The 22,492-nt window shown below is 38.6% G+C and overlaps 1 long non-coding RNA gene across 2 annotated transcripts in view; it reads left to right on the top strand.

Moving 5' to 3' along the window:
- Positions 1-22,492, top strand: part of LOC105369302 (uncharacterized) — a 104,389-nt gene that overhangs the window by 36,130 nt on the left and 45,767 nt on the right. Inside the window, exons 2-3 of one of the 2 annotated variants that reach the window (XR_937594.3) lie at positions 15,721-15,861; positions 19,775-19,939. This is a non-coding gene — a long non-coding RNA (uncharacterized LOC105369302). Of the gene's footprint in view, positions 1-15,720; positions 15,862-19,774; positions 19,940-22,492 lie in introns of those variants that run through there. The other variant, XR_001754972.2, reaches the window with a different exon arrangement.

Raw genomic sequence — 22,492 nt, 5'->3', positions numbered from 1 at the left:
GGTGGATCACTTGAGGTCAGGCCAACACAGTGAAACCTCATCTCTAATAAAAATACAAAAATTAGCCAGGTGTGGTGGGACACGATTGTAATCCCAGCTACTCCGGAGGGTGAGGCATGAGAATCGCTTGAACTGGGGAGACAGAGATTGCAGTGAGCCGAGATCGCATCACTGCACTCCAGCCTGGGTGACAGAGCAAGACTCTTGTCTCAAATAAATAAATGAATATGATAAATAAAAAAAACTATCCAAACTTATAGATTATCTTAAATCTTCAACAGCTTTCTTTAAGCTTCCGTTCTCTGGGTAAGATATTAATGGCTATTGAGATGACAAGACTAGTCAGCCTAAGGAATTAGAAAACACACAGAGGATTAATCCTCTAAATGGAAACACAGTCACTTAATGACCTATGTTTTAAAAGATTATGAGAAATAAACTTCAAAGTGATGCCTACGGATTTTTCCCAGGGGGGTTAAGAGAATTAAATTATGGATTAAAGAAAGCAAAAATACAAACAAATTGTGTTGACTGGTGGATCAATGTTGACCTAACAGGTGATGTTATAAGTCCCGGTAAAAAATACTAACAGTAGCAATGTGAACAATGTTCTGTGTGCTTACTCTTCAATATATAAATGGAATTTCCATGGATTAGAATTTGAGTGTTCAATAGTAGAAAAATAGATAGCATAAATCTGTAAATAGGCCGGGCGTGGTGGCTCACGCTTGTAATCCTAGCACTCCAGGAGGCCAAGGTGGGGTGGACCACATGAGGTCAGGAGTGTGAGACCAGCCTGGCCAACATGGTGAAACTCCATCTCTACACAAAAAGTAGCCGGGTGTGGTGGCGCACACCTGAATTCTCAGGTACTCAAGAAGCTGAGGCACAAGAATTGCTTAAACCCAAGAGGCGGAGGTTGCAGTGAGCCAAGATCCCAAGATCGCATCACTACACTCCAGCCTGAGGGACAGAGTGAGACTCTGTCTCAAGAAAAATAAATAAATAAAATCTGTAAATAGATTCCCATTTACAGAAGAAGATGTATGCCCAAGAGAGGATTCATTTTCTTGGGCATATATCTTCTTGGGAATACTGGTGCTCTGTTACCTACTCATTCTCCATATCAGTCTTTGTTTTTAAAGAGAGCAATATAGTTAGAAATGCTGAAAAATGTAGCCATCATACTGTCAAACTGATTACCAATGGAGAGACTGAGGCTTTGAGAGACTGGATTTTTCCAGGCTGCACATGTTGTTAGTGGCACTACTCGCCTAATTCCTAATCCAATACTTTGATTTCTCACATCCTGCCTCACAGAAGAGGAAAAATCCACAGTTAGATTCTAGTCTTTTTCACTTCAGCTTTTAACTAATTGCTATGCCTCCTTTTACATAGCAGACTGAAGAGTTGCTGATTATAAAAAGCAAGCAGACCATAAAATGAAAACCCTACTTATAAATCCAAATTAATGGCACATCTTTATTGGACAGTTTTAGGGACCTGGAGGGATTCCTGGTCTTTCTATTTCTTATTGATCTAGGAAACAAGGGTATAAACAACCTAAAAGACTTCAAAAATGCTATTTTAGCTGCTGCTGATCTTGAAAGCCAAAATGAGAGAATAGTGGAATAACAGCCCAATCTAGGGGTAACCTGGGTGAAAAGCCAAACACTTAACTGAATTGGTTGTCCTTTCAATCTTGCCTTTCATTCCCAGGGTGGTAGAAAGGTATTCAGATGTCTCCATTATGTTGCTTAATCTTGCTGGCCAAAAAGGCTGAGGGTTCTCATTAATTTAATGGGAAGCTGCTAAGTCCTTACCATTCTCACTATGGAATGCACCATGGTCAGCACTATCTGTCATTCCCAATTTATTATTGTCTGATAGCTAACATGCTGCTGCACTTGACCATCTTAGGGAATCCATTCTCTCTTCGTACACTTTGGATAGAGTTATTTCAATATAAAAACAGCACATTTTAAATGTCAAATAATAAACAAACATGTTAATGATTTTTTAAATAATTGTTTTCTTTGAGAAAAAGAATTTGTTGGAACATAATCCATATGACATTAGAATGTAGTTGAGACACTAAGCTTTCTTTTTTAAAGTTGTGAGCAGCTGGGAACAGTGACTCATGCCTGCTATCCCAGCACCTTGGGAGGCTGAGGCAGGCAGATCACTTGAGCCCAGGAGTTCGAGACCAGCCTAGGCCACATTGTGAGACCAAATCTCTACTAAAAATACAGAAATCAGCCAGGCATGGTGGCAGGCACCCATAGCCCCAGCTATTGAGGAGGCTGAGAAGTGAGAGGATTGCTTGAGCCCAGGAGGTCACAGCGGCAGTGAGCCATGATTGTGTCATGGCAACTCAGCCTGAGTGACAGTGTGAGACCCTATCTCAAAAATAATAAAATAAAATAAAATTAAAAAGTGTGGGCAATGTCCCTAATTTGCAGTTTATGGATTAAATGTTAATTTAAAGAATACTTACAACATATACCTATTCTCTTAGAGATTCCATTATAACTCAAACTAAAATATTCTATGTAACTAGATGGTTAACCTCAGTGAAAGATAAGGAACATAAGGCTAAGAGCAGTTAAATCATCAGGCAGAGGTAACACAGCTGGTCAGGTGAATGGAGCCCAGAACATCTAATTCCTCAACTGGCACGTTGTTTTTCACTATGCCAAGTTGTTCTTGCTAGGAATTCTTTGGATGCTGGTTCACCTGGGAGATTGAAGGGATGAGCCAGATTGCTCTCATACCTTGGAGTTCCAGGTGGAGATGGGGAAGGAGGGGGAAGAATCCCTAATTTGAGCAAGTTTTATAAAGAGGATACCATTTGACGCCACTGTGTGTTGAATAAACATGGAGATAGACCTGGTCCAATGGAAAGATTATGAATGTTTCCTTGATGGTTACTTGATCACTTGACTCTTAGTTTTCCTAAGAATAAATAGGAAAAAAAACATAAGCCTTGGGAAGTTGTTTAAGGGAAAATTGGGTAGACTATGTAAAGCATCTAGCAGAGTGATTTACTCACATTTGATGTTTAGTTAACATAAAAACTACTTTACCAGGCTTCTAAGGCAATTAACCATTTAAACCAAATTTGAATTAAAGCTAGGCATGGGGTAAGAAAGCAAGAAGTAAGAGAGACTTGGAGTCTGGTGTACTCTAATTAAGTTAAATGTGCAAAGGAGAAAAAGTGTTAATCTTTTCCTTACCTGTTTCAATGTTCCCAGCTAAGGCACCTGTAACAAAAGATAGATTAACAAGAGAAAAACAAATCTATTTAATATAAGTTTTGCCTGACATGGGAGCCTTCAGAAATGAAGACCCACCGGATACAGTGGCTCACGTCTGTAATCCCAGCACTTTGGGAGGCAGAGGCAGGTTGATCACTTGAGGTCAGAAGTTCGAGACCATCTTGGCCAACATGGTGAAACCCTGTCTCTAATAAAAATACAAAAATTAGCTGGGAGTGGTGGTGCATGCCTGTAATCCTAGCTGCTCAGGAGGTTGAGACAGGTGAATCTCTTGAACCCAGGAGGCGGAGCTTGCAGTGAGCTGAGATCGTGTCATTGCACTCCAGCCTGGGTGACAGAGCAAGACTCCTACTTGAAAAAAGAAAAAAAAAAAAAGAAAGAAACAAACAAAGTAAAATAAGAAATGAAGACCCCAAGAAACAGGGAAACTCGTATATTTTTATGCTTAGGTAGGAGGAAGAGTGGAGAGTTGTGCAGAAGTGTAATTGGACTAACAAGGTATGATCTAATGGTAACAAACCCCATCTTAGCAAGGCCTGTTTGCTCAGATTCTTCTCTGTGTCCCTCTGACTTCAGAGATAAGAACATTCTTTCCCTCCAGGTACAAGGAGGGCACCTCAGGAAACAGGATTTTATGATCTGCTTCACGGGAAAGTCAGCTGATTTTATTCTCTGCTACAGGAGAGAAGGTCAGAGAATTATTTCTACATTTTATGGCCTGCTTCAGAGGAGAAGGGGCAAGGGGAAGGTGAGAGTGACCTTCATGTTTCTACTATTTTCTCAAATGTCAAGATGCCACATCCTGGGTTAGTGTGTCCTGAACTCCATCAAATGCAAAACTTTAAAAGTTCAGGAACATACCAGTGTACTCTTTTGTTTGTTCAGGAAATACAGTGCTGTTTAATAAAGTTAACGAATCATAGGCCATCTAGTCTGTGTTTCCGAAGCATTCTCTCTCACCTTGGAGTATTTCAATCTTAGCAATTGCTAGCATCTAATAGGATCATCTGCAGAGGCACCAGAAAAGACTTCTGAGAGCAATGCTTTTAACTGAGACTTCTTTCTTGAAATTTAGATTGTTACATCTTTTTCCCCTTTGTGCTCTAGTTGCAGTCAAGACAATTTTCTTTTGTCCTGTGATGGTATTTTCTGCATACTATTGATCTGAGGCAAATAGTATCTGAGAAAAGAGAGTTTTCTTAGGCTATCGTGCCTTTCATCAAACAAGATAAATCATCAAATGAGCAAATTTGAGGTCTGTCTGGTTGTTATTCTTCACACAGTTTTGCCATGTGGATAGACATTGAGAGAACATGTACTCCACTGGTCTTTAGAGAATTAACAACAATATATTCTCGAGTAAATGTAGGCAAACTTGCCTTCCTGGTATTAGTGAGGCTCCTGGTAAACATTACTGAATAAGACACAGTCATTATCCTTAGGGAGCTCACAATTTAGCACTTGTTTATTGAACTACTGAAACAATTTATAGAACTGAGTTGTTAGTCAAGAAAATGAAAAAGGAGCTACAAACCAGTGTTCACAGAGAAGCAGATTTCCTGCTTTTAAAAAGCAATTCCATATACAAACGTTTGCTGCAATGTAATAAACAAGACTATTGGAAGAGAAAGAAGTAATTTAACTCTTTTTTTTTTCTAGTGGTCTAATCAAGCTTCCACCTAAAAAGAAAGTGTAAACTTTCACCCTTTACAGGAATTTAATTTTCGCTTAAGCTATCCGTGTTGCTTCTTTTTCCTCTTGGATCATACATTACCTCAACTCCAAGTTTAGATAGACAGGCTATTAGAAATCTGAATAGAATGATTTCCTTCGTTCCTTCCTTCCTTCCTTCTTTCCTTCATTCCTTCCTTCCTTCTTATCTTCTTTAATTGTTTTTAATGATTATTAAGGCCTGAAAAAGTCAGAAATGAATTAACACATACCACCTGATTTTATGTATGGTGAGAGAAAAGGAGTGTGTTAAATGTTTCAAGAGAGTATTTACAAAGAGCAATGGGAATACAAAAGAGAAAGAGAGTAGATTGAAATTTGAGTGATTTGTAAACTGGGAACAAAAGCAGATCTTTTTTTTTTTTTTTTTTTTTTTTTTTTGAGACGGAGTCTTGCTGTGTTGCCCAGGCTGGAGTGCAGTGGCACGATCTCGGCTCACTGCAAGCTCTGCCTCCAGGGTACATGCCATTCTCCTGCCTCAGCCTCCCGAGTAGCTGGGACTACAGGCGCCTGCCACCATGCCCGGCTAATTTTTTGTATTTTTAGAAGAGATGGGGTTTCACTATGTTAGCCAGGATGGTCTCAATCTCCTGACCTCATGATCTGCCCGCCTCAGCCTCCCAAAGTGCTGGGATTACAGGTGTGAGCCACTGTGCCCAGGCAAAAGCAGGTCATTTAACTCCAAAACTTTTGCTTCTAGACTTTTGTTATAGGTATGTCTTCCTTTTTTGAGACTCTGTTAGTGGTAGTAATGAGGAGATTAAGTATTAGGTTGGTGCAAACGTTGGCACCAACCTAATAAATTCAACTTTCTACTCACATGTGAGGTGATGTGTTAGGAATATCAAGAGGGAAACCTTTGAAGAGGGAGTAATGTCTGGGGTAAGCATTGAATGTCTGTAGGATTTAGCTCACTGAAGACAAATATCAAGGAATTTTCAAGTAGAGATAACATCATGAGCAAAAAAAAGAGAAAAATATGAAAAGATACAGGTCATTTGGAGAAATAATCCTTTGCTTAACAGGATGGGACATTTTAAACAAATAAAATAAGAGTGAAACCACAAAGTAAGTTTCTCCTGAAAGGAAAAAGGGTGGAGGATGGAGTGAGGGCCGCACAAGTTAAAGAGATGATAATGTGTTTGCATGAGGGAGATCTGATCCTACCTGATGCTTATAAAACAAATTACTGTGAAAAAATTTGCTATTACTAAAACGATCAGAAATACTTGGATGAAAAACAAATGGTTGGAAAATCTAGTGTCATTATAAAATTTACAGTGGTACCACACACACGGCCTGGCAAAATGTGCATACTGTTTAGACTATTCCATCAGAAACACTTCTTCAAAAGTTCCTATACTTTCTGAGATGGGCGGAGTTTGGTATGGTAGGCAGGGAGTGATAAACTGAGGTGAGATTGGAAAATCAGGTTGGGCTCAAAAGCTTTGAAATCCATTCTCAGAAGTTCTAACTTTCTCCAAAAAGCAGACAAATGGCATGATTAATCAGTATTCTAGAAAGAACTTTCAGGCTGAGGTATGGATTGGACAGGGGAGGAGATTGTTAGCAATAAGGTCTATTGGTAGGTTATAGATATACCTGTGAAAAGTGTTGAAGGACTGAATGGTGCTGTTTATAGAGCACCCTTGACATCTGTAACTCCATCTTAGAAAAAGACTCATCTTATGTTTCAGAATGCATCATACCAACAGGCATCATACCAACAGCGATCAGATGTTCGCCTAATCAATAGAGACAGCAATCAATCAGATAAGGACATAACCAGGCACACTCTTTACTATCAATTCAGTCCTCACCAGAAGACTCCGGGGCCATAAGAATAGCAAGACTTCACCAGCTCAAGACGGCCATCTTGATAGACACGGTTATGCTGTCACTTGTGATTAGCACCTGGCATCTGAGGCTGAAGGCTCTGCCCAAATAAAAGACTCTTCAGTGGAAGTCATTGACATCCATCAGGATCAGGCCAGGACACTCTCCTTGTCCATGTCACTCTCCTTGCACTGGTTCATTTGACCCCATTTTCCTAATCCTTTTCGTCTTGATGTTAATTGTTTGTCTGATATGGAATATTTAATCTATAACATTTATATATTAATTATACTACAATGTGTGATTTGCAATATTGACTGACTTGTGGCTTGAGCCCGTGTGCCCATGGCGCTAACTACTGAGTGAACAGGTAGTGCTAAGGAGAATTGCTTCCTTGGGAACTCCATGTAGCCGTGACTTTTGCAATTGAAATAACACCAAGGAAAATCTGACCTTGTGGAAAGATACAAACATGCACAGACTTGGTTACGTCTCATCTTTCGCTGCTCACAACACACAGTTACAGCAGTATTAAAGAAGAGCAGTGGGTTCTGAACACATTTCAGAATTATGACATCAGGTTTGGACATGGCTTTTGAGGCAGAGGGGCAAGTCAAAGAAGTATTCAGGCTCTTGGTATCTGCACTGATAAAGATGGAGGTGGAAGCAAGGTGATGTAGTAGTAATTTCTTTTAATAAGCAATAACTTCTAAAATGCTTTTCATAATTGCTCCCAATTCGATCAATGGAAATGGAAAAAAAAAAACAAAAAAAAAAGGTTAAAAAAAAAACCTTGCTGAAAGAGAACAAGGGTACAAAATAGAAGAAGGGAAAGAAGAGATAGGGAAACAAAAACATCAAAATTTGACTGAAATTTGGTTAAAAATAATTAAGGTTAAACCTAGTTTAGGTTAGGTAAAACTCAAGAATTTGTTTTTTTGTATCTTAGGGATTTGATAATGCAGCAAAAAGTTATTAAGAGGACTACAAAGAGATCCTTTTGGTGTGAACACCAAAGAGAACACAAAAATTGAACTTCACATTACTTAGTACTTGGTAAACTGTTTCATTGTCAATTAATGCTGTGTAATAAACCTCTTTATATAGATTACTCTTCCACAACATAATTTTAAATGGGTGGATAATATTGCATTATAAAAATATATCATAATTTATATACAAATTTCATTGCTTGAGCATTGTATTAGAGTTCTCTAGAGGGACATAACTAATAGGATTTATATATATCTCTTATTAGTATATATTATATATATATATGAGCTTATTAAGGAGTGTTAACTCACACAATAATAAGGCCTCACAATAGGCTGTCTGCAAGGTGAGGAGCAATGAAGCCAGTCCAGAGCTGAAGAACTTGGAGTCTGATGTTTGAGGGCAGGAAGCATCCAGCACAGGAGAAAGATGTAGGCTGGGAGGCTAAGCCAGTCTAGCCTTTTCTGTTTTTTCTGCCTGCTTTATATTCTGGCTGCTCTGGCAGCTGATTAGGTGGTGCCCACCCAGATAAAGGGTGAGTCTGCCTTTCCCAGTCCACTGACTCAAATGTTAATCTCCTTTGACAACACCTAGCAGATACATCCAAGATCAATACTTTGCATCCTTCAATCCAATCAAGTTGACACTCAGTATTAACCATCACTAGTCTACTCCCTTTTCAACTTGAACCCATACACATCTCCTGAGATCATACATAATCTTCAAATAAAGACAGTAATAAAGTTATAATTACACCTAACAGGATACAACTATCTTTCATACAACCGAAAATGCACCAATCCTCGACGCAAATGCACCAATCCTCGACGCAAATGCTATTACATAAAGTCAACAATACTTAAATGCTGATATGAAGTCAATAAATCTTATGTCACAGGATAAAGGAAAAAGGAAATAAAATGAAGATATTTTCTTAGTACAAGTGTATCCATGCACAAACATGTTTTTAACAAAAGAAGGTGGATATACTCATGACAATTACAGTCCTCCTTTCTGTAACTGACCACGTGATCATAATTGGTATTAATTATTACCCTCTTCTACCACACATTCTGTATTCCCATCAGCAAGCACCTCAGCAGGTCGTAGTTTTTTTTCCTGGTGGAGTGACCCAATCCTTCATTCCTGATGGGCCATTGGTAGTCCTGCCTGGATTGGGCTGTTGCAGTTTTCCATTGACTTTAATCACACGGCATAGTAATACTAAGAGACATCCTAATGGATCTCCTGTATTCCATGCATGCTCTTCCTTAACTCTGTTGTGGAGTAGTAGACTTATTTCATCTTAATAGCCTCAATCACCCCAGCAAACACCGTAACACCCTTCTTAGCCTGTTGATTTAAAGGTAGGAGGAGCCTAAAGTGTCCAGGTGGCAATCTTAGCTTCCAGTTAAATGGAATTGTTGTTGTGTCTCCCAGTGGCAGTGTTCCTCCTTCTGGAACTAAGACCTCTAGGCCGGCAGAATGTAATATTGTGGGAACGGGAAGCAAAAATCTTGCTAGTGGATCACTTGGGGTGATGGTGAGTGGTGCCACTTCCACTTCCACCCCTTGATTCCTGGACCTGTGAATCCTGGCTATGGGACAAACAGTGCCATATATTGGATGCTGATGCAGAGCACACACGACCTTCTGGAGAACTTTGCCCAGGCATGCAAAGTATTGTCACTTAGTTGGTGTTGTACTTGTGACTTCTAAAAGCCATTCTCCCGTTCATCAATCCAGCCTCTTCAGGATGATGGGGAACATGGTAAGGCTAGTGAATTCCATGAGCATGAGCCCACTGCCACACTGCTTTAGCCGTAAAGTGAGTGCCTTGGTCAGAGGCAATGCTGTGTGGAATATCATGATGGTGGATAAGGCATTCCGTGAGCCCACAGATGGTAGTCTTCGCAGAAGCACTGGTTGCAGAATAGGCAAACCCAGTAAGTGTCTATTCTAGTGAGGACAAACCTCTTCCTTTTCCATGATGGAAGAGGTCCAATATAATCAACCTGCCACCAAGTAGCTGGCTGATCACCCTGAGAAATGATGCCATATTGAGGGCTCAGTGCTGGTCTCTGCTTTTGGAAAACTGGGCACTCAGCAGTTGCCATAGCCAGGTTAGCCTTGGTGAGTGGAAGTCCATGTTGCTGAGCCCATATGTAAACTCCATCCCTGCCACCATGGCCACTTTGTTCATGGGACCACTGGGCTATGACAGAGGTGGCTGGGGAAAGAGGCTGAATGGTGTCCACAGAACTGGTCATTCTATCCACTTGATTATTAAACTCTTCCTCTGCTAAGGTCACCCGTTGGTGAGCACTCACATGGAACACAAATATCTTCACAGTTATGACCACTCAGAGAGGTCCATCCACATATCTCTTCCCCAAGGTCACCCGTTGGTGAGCACTCACATGGAATAGAAATATCTTCAGTTATGACCACTCAGAGAGGTCCATCCACATATCTCTTCCCCAAATTTCTTTGTCACCAATTTTCCAATCATGCTTCTTCCAAGTCCCTGACCAGCCAAACCACTGGCTACAGCCTATGAATCAGTATATAACCGCATATCTGGCCCTTTCTCTTTCTATGCAACCTGCACAACCAGGTACACTGCTTGAGGTTCTGCTCACTGGGAAGACTCCTTCACCGCTGTCCTGCAGGGATGTCCTAGAAAGGGGCTGTTGTGCTGCAGCTGTCCACTTTTGTGTGGTGCCTGCATATCATGCAGAATCATCTGTGAACCAGGTCCTAATCTTCTCTCCCTCTGTTAGCTGATCATAGGGAACTCTCTATGAGGCCATCAGTGCAGGCTGGGAGAGAGAAGGCAGGGTGGCAGGAGTGGAGACCATGGGCATTTGAGCCACTTCCTCATGTAACTTACCTGTGCCTTCAGGACCTGCTCGAGCCCGATCACGTATATACCACTTCCATTTGATGATGGAATGCTGCTTTGCATGACCCAGTTTATGGCTAGATGGGTCAGAAAGCACCCAGTTCATGATAGGCAGTTCAAGTTGTATGGTGACTTGATAACCCATAGTCAAATGTTCAGTTTCCACCGAAGCCCAGTAACAGGCCAAGAGCTGTCTCTCAAAAGGAGAGTAGTTATCTGCAGAAGACGGCAGGGCCTCTTCTGTGATTCACCTATGGGGGCCTGCCAAAGGCTACAAACTGCATCCCTATCAGTCACTGACACCTCAGCACCATTGGATCTGCTGGGTCATATGGCCCAAGTAGCAGAGAGCTTCCACAGCAGCCTGGATCTGTTGCAGAGCCTTCTCCTGTTCTGGACCCCACTCCAAACTGGCAGCTTTGGGGTCACTCTATAAATGGGCTGGAGTAACACACCCAAATGAGGAATGTGTTGCCTCCAAAATCCAAATAAGCCCCTAGGCATTGTGTCTTTTTCTTGGTTGTAGGAGGGGCCAAATGCAGCAACTTATCCTTCACCTTAGAAAGAATATCTCAACAGACCCCACACCACTGGACACCTAGAAATTTTACTGAGGTGGAGGGTCCCTAAATTTTAGTCAGATTTATTTCCCATTTTCTGGCACACAAATGTCTTGCCAGTAAGTCCAGTGTGTTTGCTACCTTTTGCTCAATGGATCCAATCAGCATAATGTCATCAATGTAATGGACCAGTGTGATATCTTGTAGAAGCAAAAAGTGATCAAAATCTCTCCAAATCAGGTAATGACACAAAGCCAGAGAGTTGATATACCACTAAGGGTGGACAGTAAAGGTATATTGCTGGCCTTGCCTGCTGAAGGCAAATTACTTCTTTGGGCCTTATGAACAGAAAAGGAGAAAAAGGTATTTGCCAAGTCGATGGCTGCATACCAGGTACAAGAAAATGTGTTAATTTGCTCAAGCAATGCAACCACATATGGTACAGCAACTGCAATTGGAGTCACCACTTGGTTAAGCTTATGATAATCCATGGTCATTCTCCAAGATCCATCTGTCTTCTGCACAGGCCAAATGGGAGAGTTGAGTGGGGATGTAGTGGGAATCACCACCCCTGCATTTTTCAACTTCTTGATGGTGCCACTAATCTCTGCAGTCCCTCCAGGGATGTGATATCGTTTTTGATTTACCATTTTTCTAGGTTGAGGGAGCTCTAATGGCTTCCATTTGGCCTTTCCCACTTAATACCCCTCATCTTACCAGTCAGGGAGCCAATGTGGGGGTTTTGGCAGCTGCTAAGTGTGTCTATGCCAATTCTGCATTCTGGCACTGGGGAAATGACCACAGGATGAGTCCGGGGACCCAGTGTAAATCAGACCTGAGCTAAAACCCCATTAATTACCTGACCTCCATAAGCCACTACTTTAACTGGAGGACCACAATGACCTTTTCAGTCCCCTGAAATCAACATCCCCTCAGAGCCAGTGCCCAGCAGTCCTCAGAATGTCTGATCATTTCCCTTTCCCCAGTGGTAAAAGACTAGAGGACCCTTTGGGGAAGAATGGGAGAAAGATTAACAGCATAAATTGTCAGTAGTGTAGTGGGGTCCTTCCTCAAGGAGACCTGGCTTCCTCTTCATTCAAGGGTTTCTGGGTCTGTAAATTGGCTCAAGTGTGGAAATTGATTGAGGGGCCATGATTTTCTGGTTTTATAATTCACATTAGTCTTTGTCCATTTGATCTAGAAGTTTTCTGCTTATATAAATTAAGTAGGAATACAGTAGGCTTCCCATCGATTTCACTTCTAGGAACACCTTGATTAATTAACCAATGCCAGAGGTCTACACAAGTCAGACTATTCTGATTGCTGCCTTGCCTCTGCCACCCATTACAGTAGCCCACCTTGCCTTTGTTGTTTGAGTGCTGCCACTTGGCCCTTAGCAGCTCGGGATCCAATTATACCCATTGTATTTAAATATTGAAGTTGAATGACTGTGGTTTCCACTTTTAGATCTGACATACAGAGAAGAGCAATTACAGGGCTCTTCTAAGAGGCAGGTGCTTCCCTCACAAATTTGTTTCCCAAAGCGTTGGTCAAGGGTATATCTTCTGTACCCTACCAGCTGGGATGAGTGGATCTAAAGTGACTTATCTACTCCACCATCCCAATCTCCCTAAGCCTTTGGATCCCTTCGTCTACATTAAACCAAGGCAGATGAGGCAATTCCAGCTCACTCAGAGTGAGCCATCTTGGAATCCGTATTTCGGCTAACCAAGCAAATAAATTATTAGAATCTTTTTCAACTCCCTGAGCTTCAACATTAAATGCAGAATCCCTACCTAGTGGGCCCAAATCAATAAATTTAGCCTGATCCAACTCTGTGTTCCTTCCACCATTATTCTACAACTTTAATATCCATTCTCATGCCTGTTCTCCAGATTTCTGCTTGTGTACATTGGAAAACTCAAGCAGTTCTTTTCAAGTGTCCCACACCTCCTCATGGGTCACACTCTGAACCTCACCTCTAAGGGCCTGCCCAGACTTTAGTCTAGTTATAGTTCTAGAAGCAAACAGGGGTTTTGGGGGTGGTTCCAGAGGAGAATCAACATTATCCTGCCTGGCAACTGGCTCAAGCGGTCCACCACTGTTGCCTCAGACAGTACAAGCTTTATCCCCTCAGACACAGGTGGAAAGGCTGATGGCAGCATGGGTTAGAGAGGGGATGTTGCCACTACTGGGGATGGGGAAGCTATTCCTTCTGGTAAAAAAGTTTCATCAGAGTTTACAAACTCAGTGTCCCCAGCTTCATCAGGGTCCTCCCATACATCCCCATTTCAAGTTGCAAGGTCCCATTCTTTTCCAGTCAATGCCCTCACTTTAACAGTAGACACCTGGTGAGGCTGTGCATGCATCTTTCATTGCATGCCAGCCCCTCGCATGATAAGAGTTTGTGTCTGTTTTTCCACAATTTCAGCTCTTTCTCTACAGCTCTTTCTCACTCAGGGCAATCTTAGTAGATTTGAAGCTAAGTATCTGCTTCTGTAGCCTGGAGTTAGAATCCTTGAGTTCATCATTTTCTCTCATCACTTTGTCCAGTGAACTTAGGAGCAACCAACCAACTTCATTATGTTCTTTGGTTCTCTACATATGGTCAAAGGTATTATGTATAGAGTCACTAAACTTGCATCTCATGAGCGGTGAATCAGGAGTGTCAAATGCATTTATCTTGCATAACTCTCTAAACAGTTCATGCCAAGAACTATCAGTTTTCTCCATACTATTGGAAGCAGAGACTTTAGCATTTTAGGCTCTAATCATATTAAGCAGACAATTCCAGAAACCCCAAAACCAATGAAAGAACTCCATCCTTAATATTCTGTTCCTCTAGAACCACTCCTGGTTCCAAAATCTGTATTAGTTAGGGTTCTCTAGAGGAACAGAACTAATAGGATATATATACAAAAAGGAGTTTATTAAGGAGTATTAACTCACACAATCACAAGGTCCCACAATAGGCCGTCTACAAGTTAGGGAGCAAGAAGAGCCAGTCAGAGTCCCAAAGCTGAAGAACTTGGAGGCTGATGTTTGAGGGCAGGAAATATCCAGCACGGGAGAAAGATGTAGGCTGGGAGGTTAGGCCAGTCTAACCTTTTCATGGTTTTCTGCCTGCTTTATATTATGGCTGTGCTTGCAGCTGATTAGATGGTTCCCACCCAGATTAAGGGTGGATCTGCCTTTCCCAGCCCACTGACTCAAATGTTAATCTCCTTTGGCAACACCCTTACAGACACACTCAGTATCAATGTTTTGCATCCTTCAGTCCAATCAAGTTGACACTCAGTATTAACCGTCACAAACATTTTAGTTGATTCCTATTTTTCACCAATGAATAGTACTCCAATAAGCATTCACTGTAGCTAAACTCTTGAACATGTATTGAAGAATCTATCTTTACTGGAATTGAAAAGTAACTATTTCTGTATATTACATTTCTATAAATATCTGAGTTCTTTCTGGACCTTACATTGCATGATTGAACTGCCTATACTTCCTACACTTGTTCTTCTCTATTTTAATTACTTTTTTCTTATTTATTTTAATATCTAGTAAGTCAAAGCACACCTTTTTTCCAAAAATCTGTTGGCCATTTTATAATTTATTTCTTACAGGTAATATTTTTAATAATTTTGACACTAATCGGACTTATAAAATATTTATAAATTAATTTGGAGAGAGCTGACTTTTAAGTAGTGAATCTTTAAGAATTAGGGTATTCTTATTCTTAGATCATTCTCAGTTTTATTAAAAATAAGACATTTTACTTTTACCTTTGATATCAGCTTTTGAATTCTAATATATGGTGTACAACATATAAGAAGCAGGGCATGGGGGGATGACCTGGCACGGTGGCTCACACCTGTAATCTCACTTTGGGAGGCTAAGTCGGGTGGATCACTTGAGGTCACGAGTTGGAGACCAGCCTGGCCTACATGATCTCTACTAAAAATATAAAGATTAGCCAGGTATGGTGGCATGCACCTGTAGTCCTAGTTACTCGGGAGGCTGAGGCATGAGAATCACTTGAACCCAGGAAGTGGAGGGTGTTGCGAGCTGAGATCACACCACTGGACTCCAGCCTGGGTGACAAAGCAAGACTCTGTCTCAGAAAAAAAAAAAAAAAAAAGATAAAATCAGGAATATAAATGAAATTTAATTAACTGAATACATTTCTGGCATTAAACTGCTCATATGATTTTCTCTCTTATATAGTAGAGGATAAATAATATTAATAGGTCCAATATAAATTGCACCTTGCATTCTTAGAGTAACCATACTTGATCATGAATGACATATTATCATTTTAAGGTAATGATAATTGTTTTGCTAACATTTTGTTTGAAGATTTTGTTTCTAAGTTCTGAAGTGCCAATTGTCTTTGTTTTTTTTATTCTTTTTAAAGATCACGTTTCTACTGTCTTCAGGAAATGAGAAAAATGAATCCAGGAAATTTCCATCTTTAACTATACTCTGTAAATGTGCTGTCCAATACACAGATAGCTACTGAGCACTGGAATATAGCTAGTCTGAATGGAGATGTTCTGTAAGTATATCATACATACCAAATTTCAAATACTTAGTATGAAAAAAGAATTCAAATATTATACTTTTGTATTGAATGTACATTGGAATAATATTTTTGATACATCAACTTTTATAAAATCTTATCATTACAATTAATATATCATTATAATTATTTATCTATTATTAAATCAAATTTCTTCAATTTCTATTACTTATATGGGGTATTCATTTATATTTCTATTGTATAACTTCTCTCAATAACATTCTAAGTAGGAGATGAATGATCTAGTCCTTAGAAGTCTGAAGGGTATTCTCTGCCACAATGATTAAATGGGTGTGGCACCAGGGCATGAATATACACACAAATCAACGTAACAACATAGAAAATTCAGAATTTGCCTTTTTTGGGTAATGAATCTTTAATACAAATTTTAATTTTTTGATTACTGTTTTATTGAGCTTCTCTACCACATTTCCACCATTTTTTATAATGTATATTTCCTCAAACATTGCTTTTTTATTCAGATGTAAAAAGTTAATAGTATAGGGTTTTACTTCCTTTACCATTGCACTACTTCTCAGCTGGAGGTGATTTTGCCTTTCCTGACATTTGTTAATGTATGGAGATATTTTCAGATTTTGCAGATGGAAGTGGGAATGTGCTACTGCCATCTAGTTGGTAGAAGCCAGGGCTACTGTTACAATGCACAGGCTAGCCCCTTATAACAAAGAATTATCTGGCCCCAAATGTCAGTGTTGCTAAAGTTGAGAATTTCTGATCTATGATAATATCCCATCCCCTTCATCATTTTTCAAACTTAGGTTTTACCTCTTTTTATTTTTTTTTTCATTTTACATTTCCTGAGGTTTGCCTATGGTCTTTTCAAAGAGCTGGTGCTTGGATTTATTTATCAGTTTTGCATTTTAATATTTTATCATTAATTTAAATGTGGTTCTTAAGCTCTATTAATTTCCCTTTCCTGCTTCTACATTTAGAAACTTAGTTCATTTTGTATTACTTTTTATACCTTCTTGAGTGATATTCTTTTGTTAAGCACAAAGTGCTCTGTATTTTCCTGTTAGTATACTTTTAAATCTGTTCCCATAAATTTTTAAAACATTTTATTGAAAGATAGTTAATATAAAAAGAGAAAAGTGTGTACACCATAGTCAAAAAGCTCAATGAATTTTTACAAACTGAACACACTCATACAAACATCACCAACTGAATAAACCTGTGTAATCTGTACCTAGATCAAGAAATAGAATATACTGGCTTCCCAGAGCCCTTCTTTCTAGTCACAATCCTCCCAAAGGTAACTAATACCTTAACTTTTAATAGCATAGATTAATTCTGCCTCCTTTGCTCTTTGTATAAATGAAATCATAGTTTGTAGTCTTTGCATCTGGCTTCTTTGGCTCAATATTATTTGTGAGCTTCCGCCATATTGTTATGTATAATTATAATGTATTCATTCTTATAGCTATATATTATTTTATTCTGTGAATACATCACCATTTGTTCATCCATTCTACTGTTGATGGGTCATTTCTAACTACAGAGTATTATAAATATTGCTGCTATGAACTTTCTAGTAGACGTCTTTTGGTGAACATATGGATGCATGTCTTGGTGGGGATATACTTGGAATATGTATTTTCAACATTAATAGATACTCTGAACAGTTTTCCAAGTTGGTTGTACTAATTTCATTTCTACTAACAATGTATGGGATACTTGGTTACTCCATATCCTTGACAAAATTTAGTATTGATTGTTCTTTTAAATTTTAGCCGTTCTGGTGGGTGGGCAATGGTCTCACACTGTGGTTTTAATTTGCATTTTTCTGATGACATGAAAAGTTAGTATTTTTTCATAGTTTATTGGCCATTTAGATACTTCTTTTGTGAAGTAACTGTTCAAGTTTCTTGTCTATTTTTCTTTTGTTTTCTCCTACTGATTTTTAAGTGTTCTTTTTTCTGGATCTGAAGTCTTCGTTACACATGTACATTATGAGTATCTTCTTCTATGGTAGCTGTTTTTTCACTCTCTCAATGGTGTCCTTGATTAACATAGTTTTATAATTTAAACATTGTCCAGTGCATCACTTTTTTCTTTGAAGAGGTGTGTCTTATTTCTTGTTTAAAAATTCTTGTTCTAAAGTTACAAAGATGACATCTCCATTGTTGTATGGTAAAACTTTTATTGTATTACTATAATCACCTAGGTTTGATATATAGACACTTAATTGGTTATATTCTAGAATCTAGAATACAATCTAGAATTATCTGGATAAGTTAAAGTACAGTTTTGATTTCTTTTGTTACCCAAAAATTTCTTAGGAGGGTGTTTTAAAATTTCTTTGTAGGATGATTTTTTGTTTACTATTATTATTAGAGTTTTAGTATACTTAGATATGTGGTCCATGTAATTTCCACATTAAATAATTTATTGTGCTTTCCTGTGGCATATTATATTACTGTTTTTTGTAAAATATCCCTAAAATATTTGGAAAGAAAGAATATTCTCTATTCGTAAAACTCAAAATTCCATATATATATATATATATATATATATATACATCATTAGTTATTATAGCAGCTCATAGTAATTATTTATTATGGGCTGGACACTAATTTTTGTACTATATGTATAGACTTTAATTATCATAACAATGATACCATCCATTTTATAAGGGAGGATAGAAGGAAACTGAGGTAGCAAGATGGTAAGTGTATTGTCTAAGGACTGAGCTAGTTAAGTGGGGGAAATAAGTTTGAAATTCAGGTTATACAGCTCTGCAGCCAATGTCCTTAATCACGACCCTCTTTTACATGTATCTCTATATTGTTATATTATTACTTTCATATCCATAAAATTAACATACTAAATATACAATTAGACCTCTGTATTCATGGATTTTGCAGCCTTGGAGTCAATCAACTTCAGATGAAAATTAAAAAAAAATAAAAAATAATTCATAAGAAAATATAGCATAATAACAATTTACATAGCATTTACATTGTATTAGGTATTGTAAGTAATATAGAGATGATTTAAAGAATGTGGGAGGATATGCGTAGGTTACATACAAATACTGCACCATTTTATATAAGGAACTTGAGCATGCATGAATTTTAGTATCCCAGATGGTCCTGAAACTCATCCCATTTGGATACCAAGGGACGATTTGTAATAGTCAATTATTTTATATACTGAACTTTTGTCTTGATTAGCCAAAGACTGAGAAAACATTAAATGCTTTTTGCCACGACTACAATGTAATTTTTATTGTTTCATTGGATTTTGCTGTTTTTTTGAAGTGCCATGGTACATAGCACATACAAAGTTTTTATCTTTTACAAATTCATTCTGGATTTTCCTTTTTATGAACAGAAAATAGTTCTCTCTGTCCTGTTTATGTTTAATTTGAATTTTACCTTTTCTGAGATTGACACATGTATTTTTAAATTTGCATTTCCCTGGCGTATATTTACTCGTCTCTTTATTTCTAACCTTTCTGTGATTTAAGTTCTTTACACTTCCGAAGAGTCATATATTTCTTTTTTTTTAAGAATTTTTTCCAGCTTTATTGAGGTACGATTTACAAATAAAAATTGCATATACTTAAAGTGTATAATGTGATGATTTGATATACATATACATTGTGAAATGATTCTCAAAATTAAGTTAATTAACATATCAGCTCACATAGTTACCTTTCTTGGGGGTGGGAACACTTAAAATCTACTCTCTTGGCAAATTTCAAGCTAATAATACATTATTATGAACCATAGTCACCATAATCTACATTAGATTTTCAAAAGTTATTAATGTTATAATTGAAAAATTATACCCTTTAACAAACATCTTTCCTTTCTCCCCATCTCCCAGGTCCTGGTAACTACCCTTCCACTCTCTGTTTCTCTAGGTTTGACTTTTTTGGACTCCACATGTGTGAGATCATGCAATATTTGTCTTTCTGTGCCTGGCTTATTTCACTTAGCGTAATGTCCTCCAGGCTCATCCAGGTTGTTGCAAAAGGCAGGATTTTCTTCTTTTTTAAGGCTTGGAGAGTCATTTGTTTTCATAAGAGGTATGTATTTCAATACTTTTGTTATTGATTCATTTTTAATAATTATTTTGGAGCTTCCTCCTTTACGTTTTCTATTTTTGCTCTCCTTTCATTTTCCTTTCGAGGAGCTGCGTAGCCTAGTGGTTAAGCACTCAGATGTGGTGCTCAGACTCTCTGGACTTAACTCCTGGCTGCACCATTTTGCTAGCCCTATAACTGTGAACAAGTTCCTTGATTTCTCTAAAACTGTATTGTCCTCTGCACTGGGTATAGCAACAGAGTCTATTTCATAGGGTTATTGTGAGGTTTGAGTGGGTTACTGAAGTATTTGGAACAGTGCTTTGCCCATAGTAACCACTGGGTAAACACTACGTGTTATTATACTACTGTCTTCCCCCTTCTTAGATTTTCGTTACTGCCTTTGTCTCTTTCAGCTGTTCCCTTCTTTTTGTAATGTTTTGGAAGGGAACATAGTGATTATGTTTTGTCTTTCTTTTCTTTTCTTTTCTTTTTTTTTTTTTTTTTTGAGATGGAGTCTCACTCTTGTTGCCCAGGCTGGAGTGCAATGGCACGATCTCGGCTCACCGCAACCTCTGCCTCCCGGGTTCTAGCGATTCTCCTGCCTCAGCCTCCAGAGTAGCTGGGATTACAGGCTTGTGCCACCACGCCCAGCTAATTTTTGTATTTTTAGTAGAGATGGGGTTTCACCATGTTGGTCAGGCTGGTCTCGAACTCCCGACCTTAGATGATCCGCCCGCCTCGGCCTCCCAAAGTGCTGGGATTACGGGCGTGTGTCTTTTCTTGTCTTTTGTATATATGTCAGCTCAATTAGGTATGGAATTCCTGGTTCTTAAATTGATTTTCTTAGACTCTGAAGGCAACTCTCCATGATCCTTTGGCATTTAGTATTGTGAAAAACTTGGTGCCAATTTGAGGATTTCTTTTGTAAGTCACTTGTCCTCGCCCTTCCCTGCTGGCACCCCTGTGTTGATGCTTGTAGGGTTCTGTTTTTAGTGCTGAAATGAAATATTTCATCAAAATATATCAGGCTTAACTCTGCTTTAATTAATTTTACCTGACATTAAACATGTCCTCTACACTTCTAGTCAAATGACTTTCTTCAGCTCTGCTAAGTTTTCTATTGCTTCTTCCTTTTTTTTTTTTTTTTTAATTTTTGCTGCTCTATCTGCCAAGTTCTTTCTTTCTAGACATCTATCTTTTTCAACTTTTATTTTAAGTCCAGGGGTACATGTGCAGGATGTGCAGGTTTGTTACATAGGTAAATGTGTGCCATGGTGGTTTACTGCACAGATCATCCCATCACCTAGAAATTAAGCCCAGCATCCATTAGCTATTCTTCCTGATGCTCTCTGCCCCACACCCCCAATAGGTACCCAGTGTGTGTTGTTCCCTCTCATGTGCCCATGTGTTCCCCTCAGTCAGCTTCCACTTACACATGAAAGCATGTGGTATTCGGTTTTCTGTTCCTGTGTCCTTCTAGACTTCTTATAAAACTTATTTTAGATCTCCTGGATATTTCCTCTAAATTTTTACTTCTTTGGCAGCATTGTTTTTACATTTTTAGAAGTTCTGGAAGAAGTTATTTAGCTTATTTTTCTAATCCATTGATTCCAATTCTACAGAATCTCCTCTTGTATTCACAAATTCCATTACATTAGAAATTTCATGGTCATATTTTTCATCTCAAAGCAACTTTTTCTGCTCTCAGGTCCTACCTTTTTAATGACTTCTTGCTTTTACTTCATACACAAAATGTTCTCTTGAATCTTCTTGAAAGTACACATTGGATATTTTCTATAGTTTTTCCTAGCTTTTATTAATAAAACCATTCTTAGGAAATATTTTGTCTGCCTTCTCAGATTGACTGCCTTCTAACTATTGACTCTCTTTAGAATTTTCTCTTTGCTTCTTGCAAATAACACATGGATGGGATAGGGAATGAAGGAGTGACTAGGTAAATAGAATGTTGGAGGACATTCTAGGTTTGTCCATATTTGGAGATTTATGTGACTTCTTTTAAACAGATACAGTTTGGGACAAAATAAAAAATAAAGCAGGAATAAAGAGGAGGGAAGAGAAGGAATAAAAAAACAGGGGAAGAAAGAAAGTAAAAAAGGAAGGAAGGAAGAAAAAAAATGAAGGAAATTAAAAAGGAAAAGGAAGGAAGAGTTAACGCTATTGTAGTTTTACATTGAAAAATTATAAGGTGATGACCTCTGAAGAATAGGATATAAATTAAGGCTGGGTGGGGGTGTGGACAGCAACATCAAGAAGTCTTATTCTTAAGCCAAAGAGATTAAATTCACTTTTATTGCTGGAATAATGTGCCTGTTCTCTGACTGTCACAGCCTTTCTCTTTTGAGACTAGTTGTAGCATTGCCCCTATTCTACTTGGCTTGCTGTATGATTCAATAGTAAACTGGGGAAAAATTATGCAGAGTAATCCCATCCTTGTCAGCTCCAGATTTGTAACTTCCCTCCAGTACCTCCTACTTTGTCCTAATGCCCTGCTGCTATCAACTTGGAGTCAGTGTGGGAATTGTGACTTGGTCA

This window comes from Homo sapiens, chromosome 21 (genome assembly GCF_000001405.40).
Source record: "Homo sapiens chromosome 21, GRCh38.p14 Primary Assembly".
NCBI classification, from domain to species: Eukaryota; Metazoa; Chordata; class Mammalia; order Primates; family Hominidae; genus Homo; species Homo sapiens.
The sequence above is the reverse complement of the archived record's forward strand: the minus strand, read 5'-3'. Positions and strand labels throughout refer to the sequence as shown.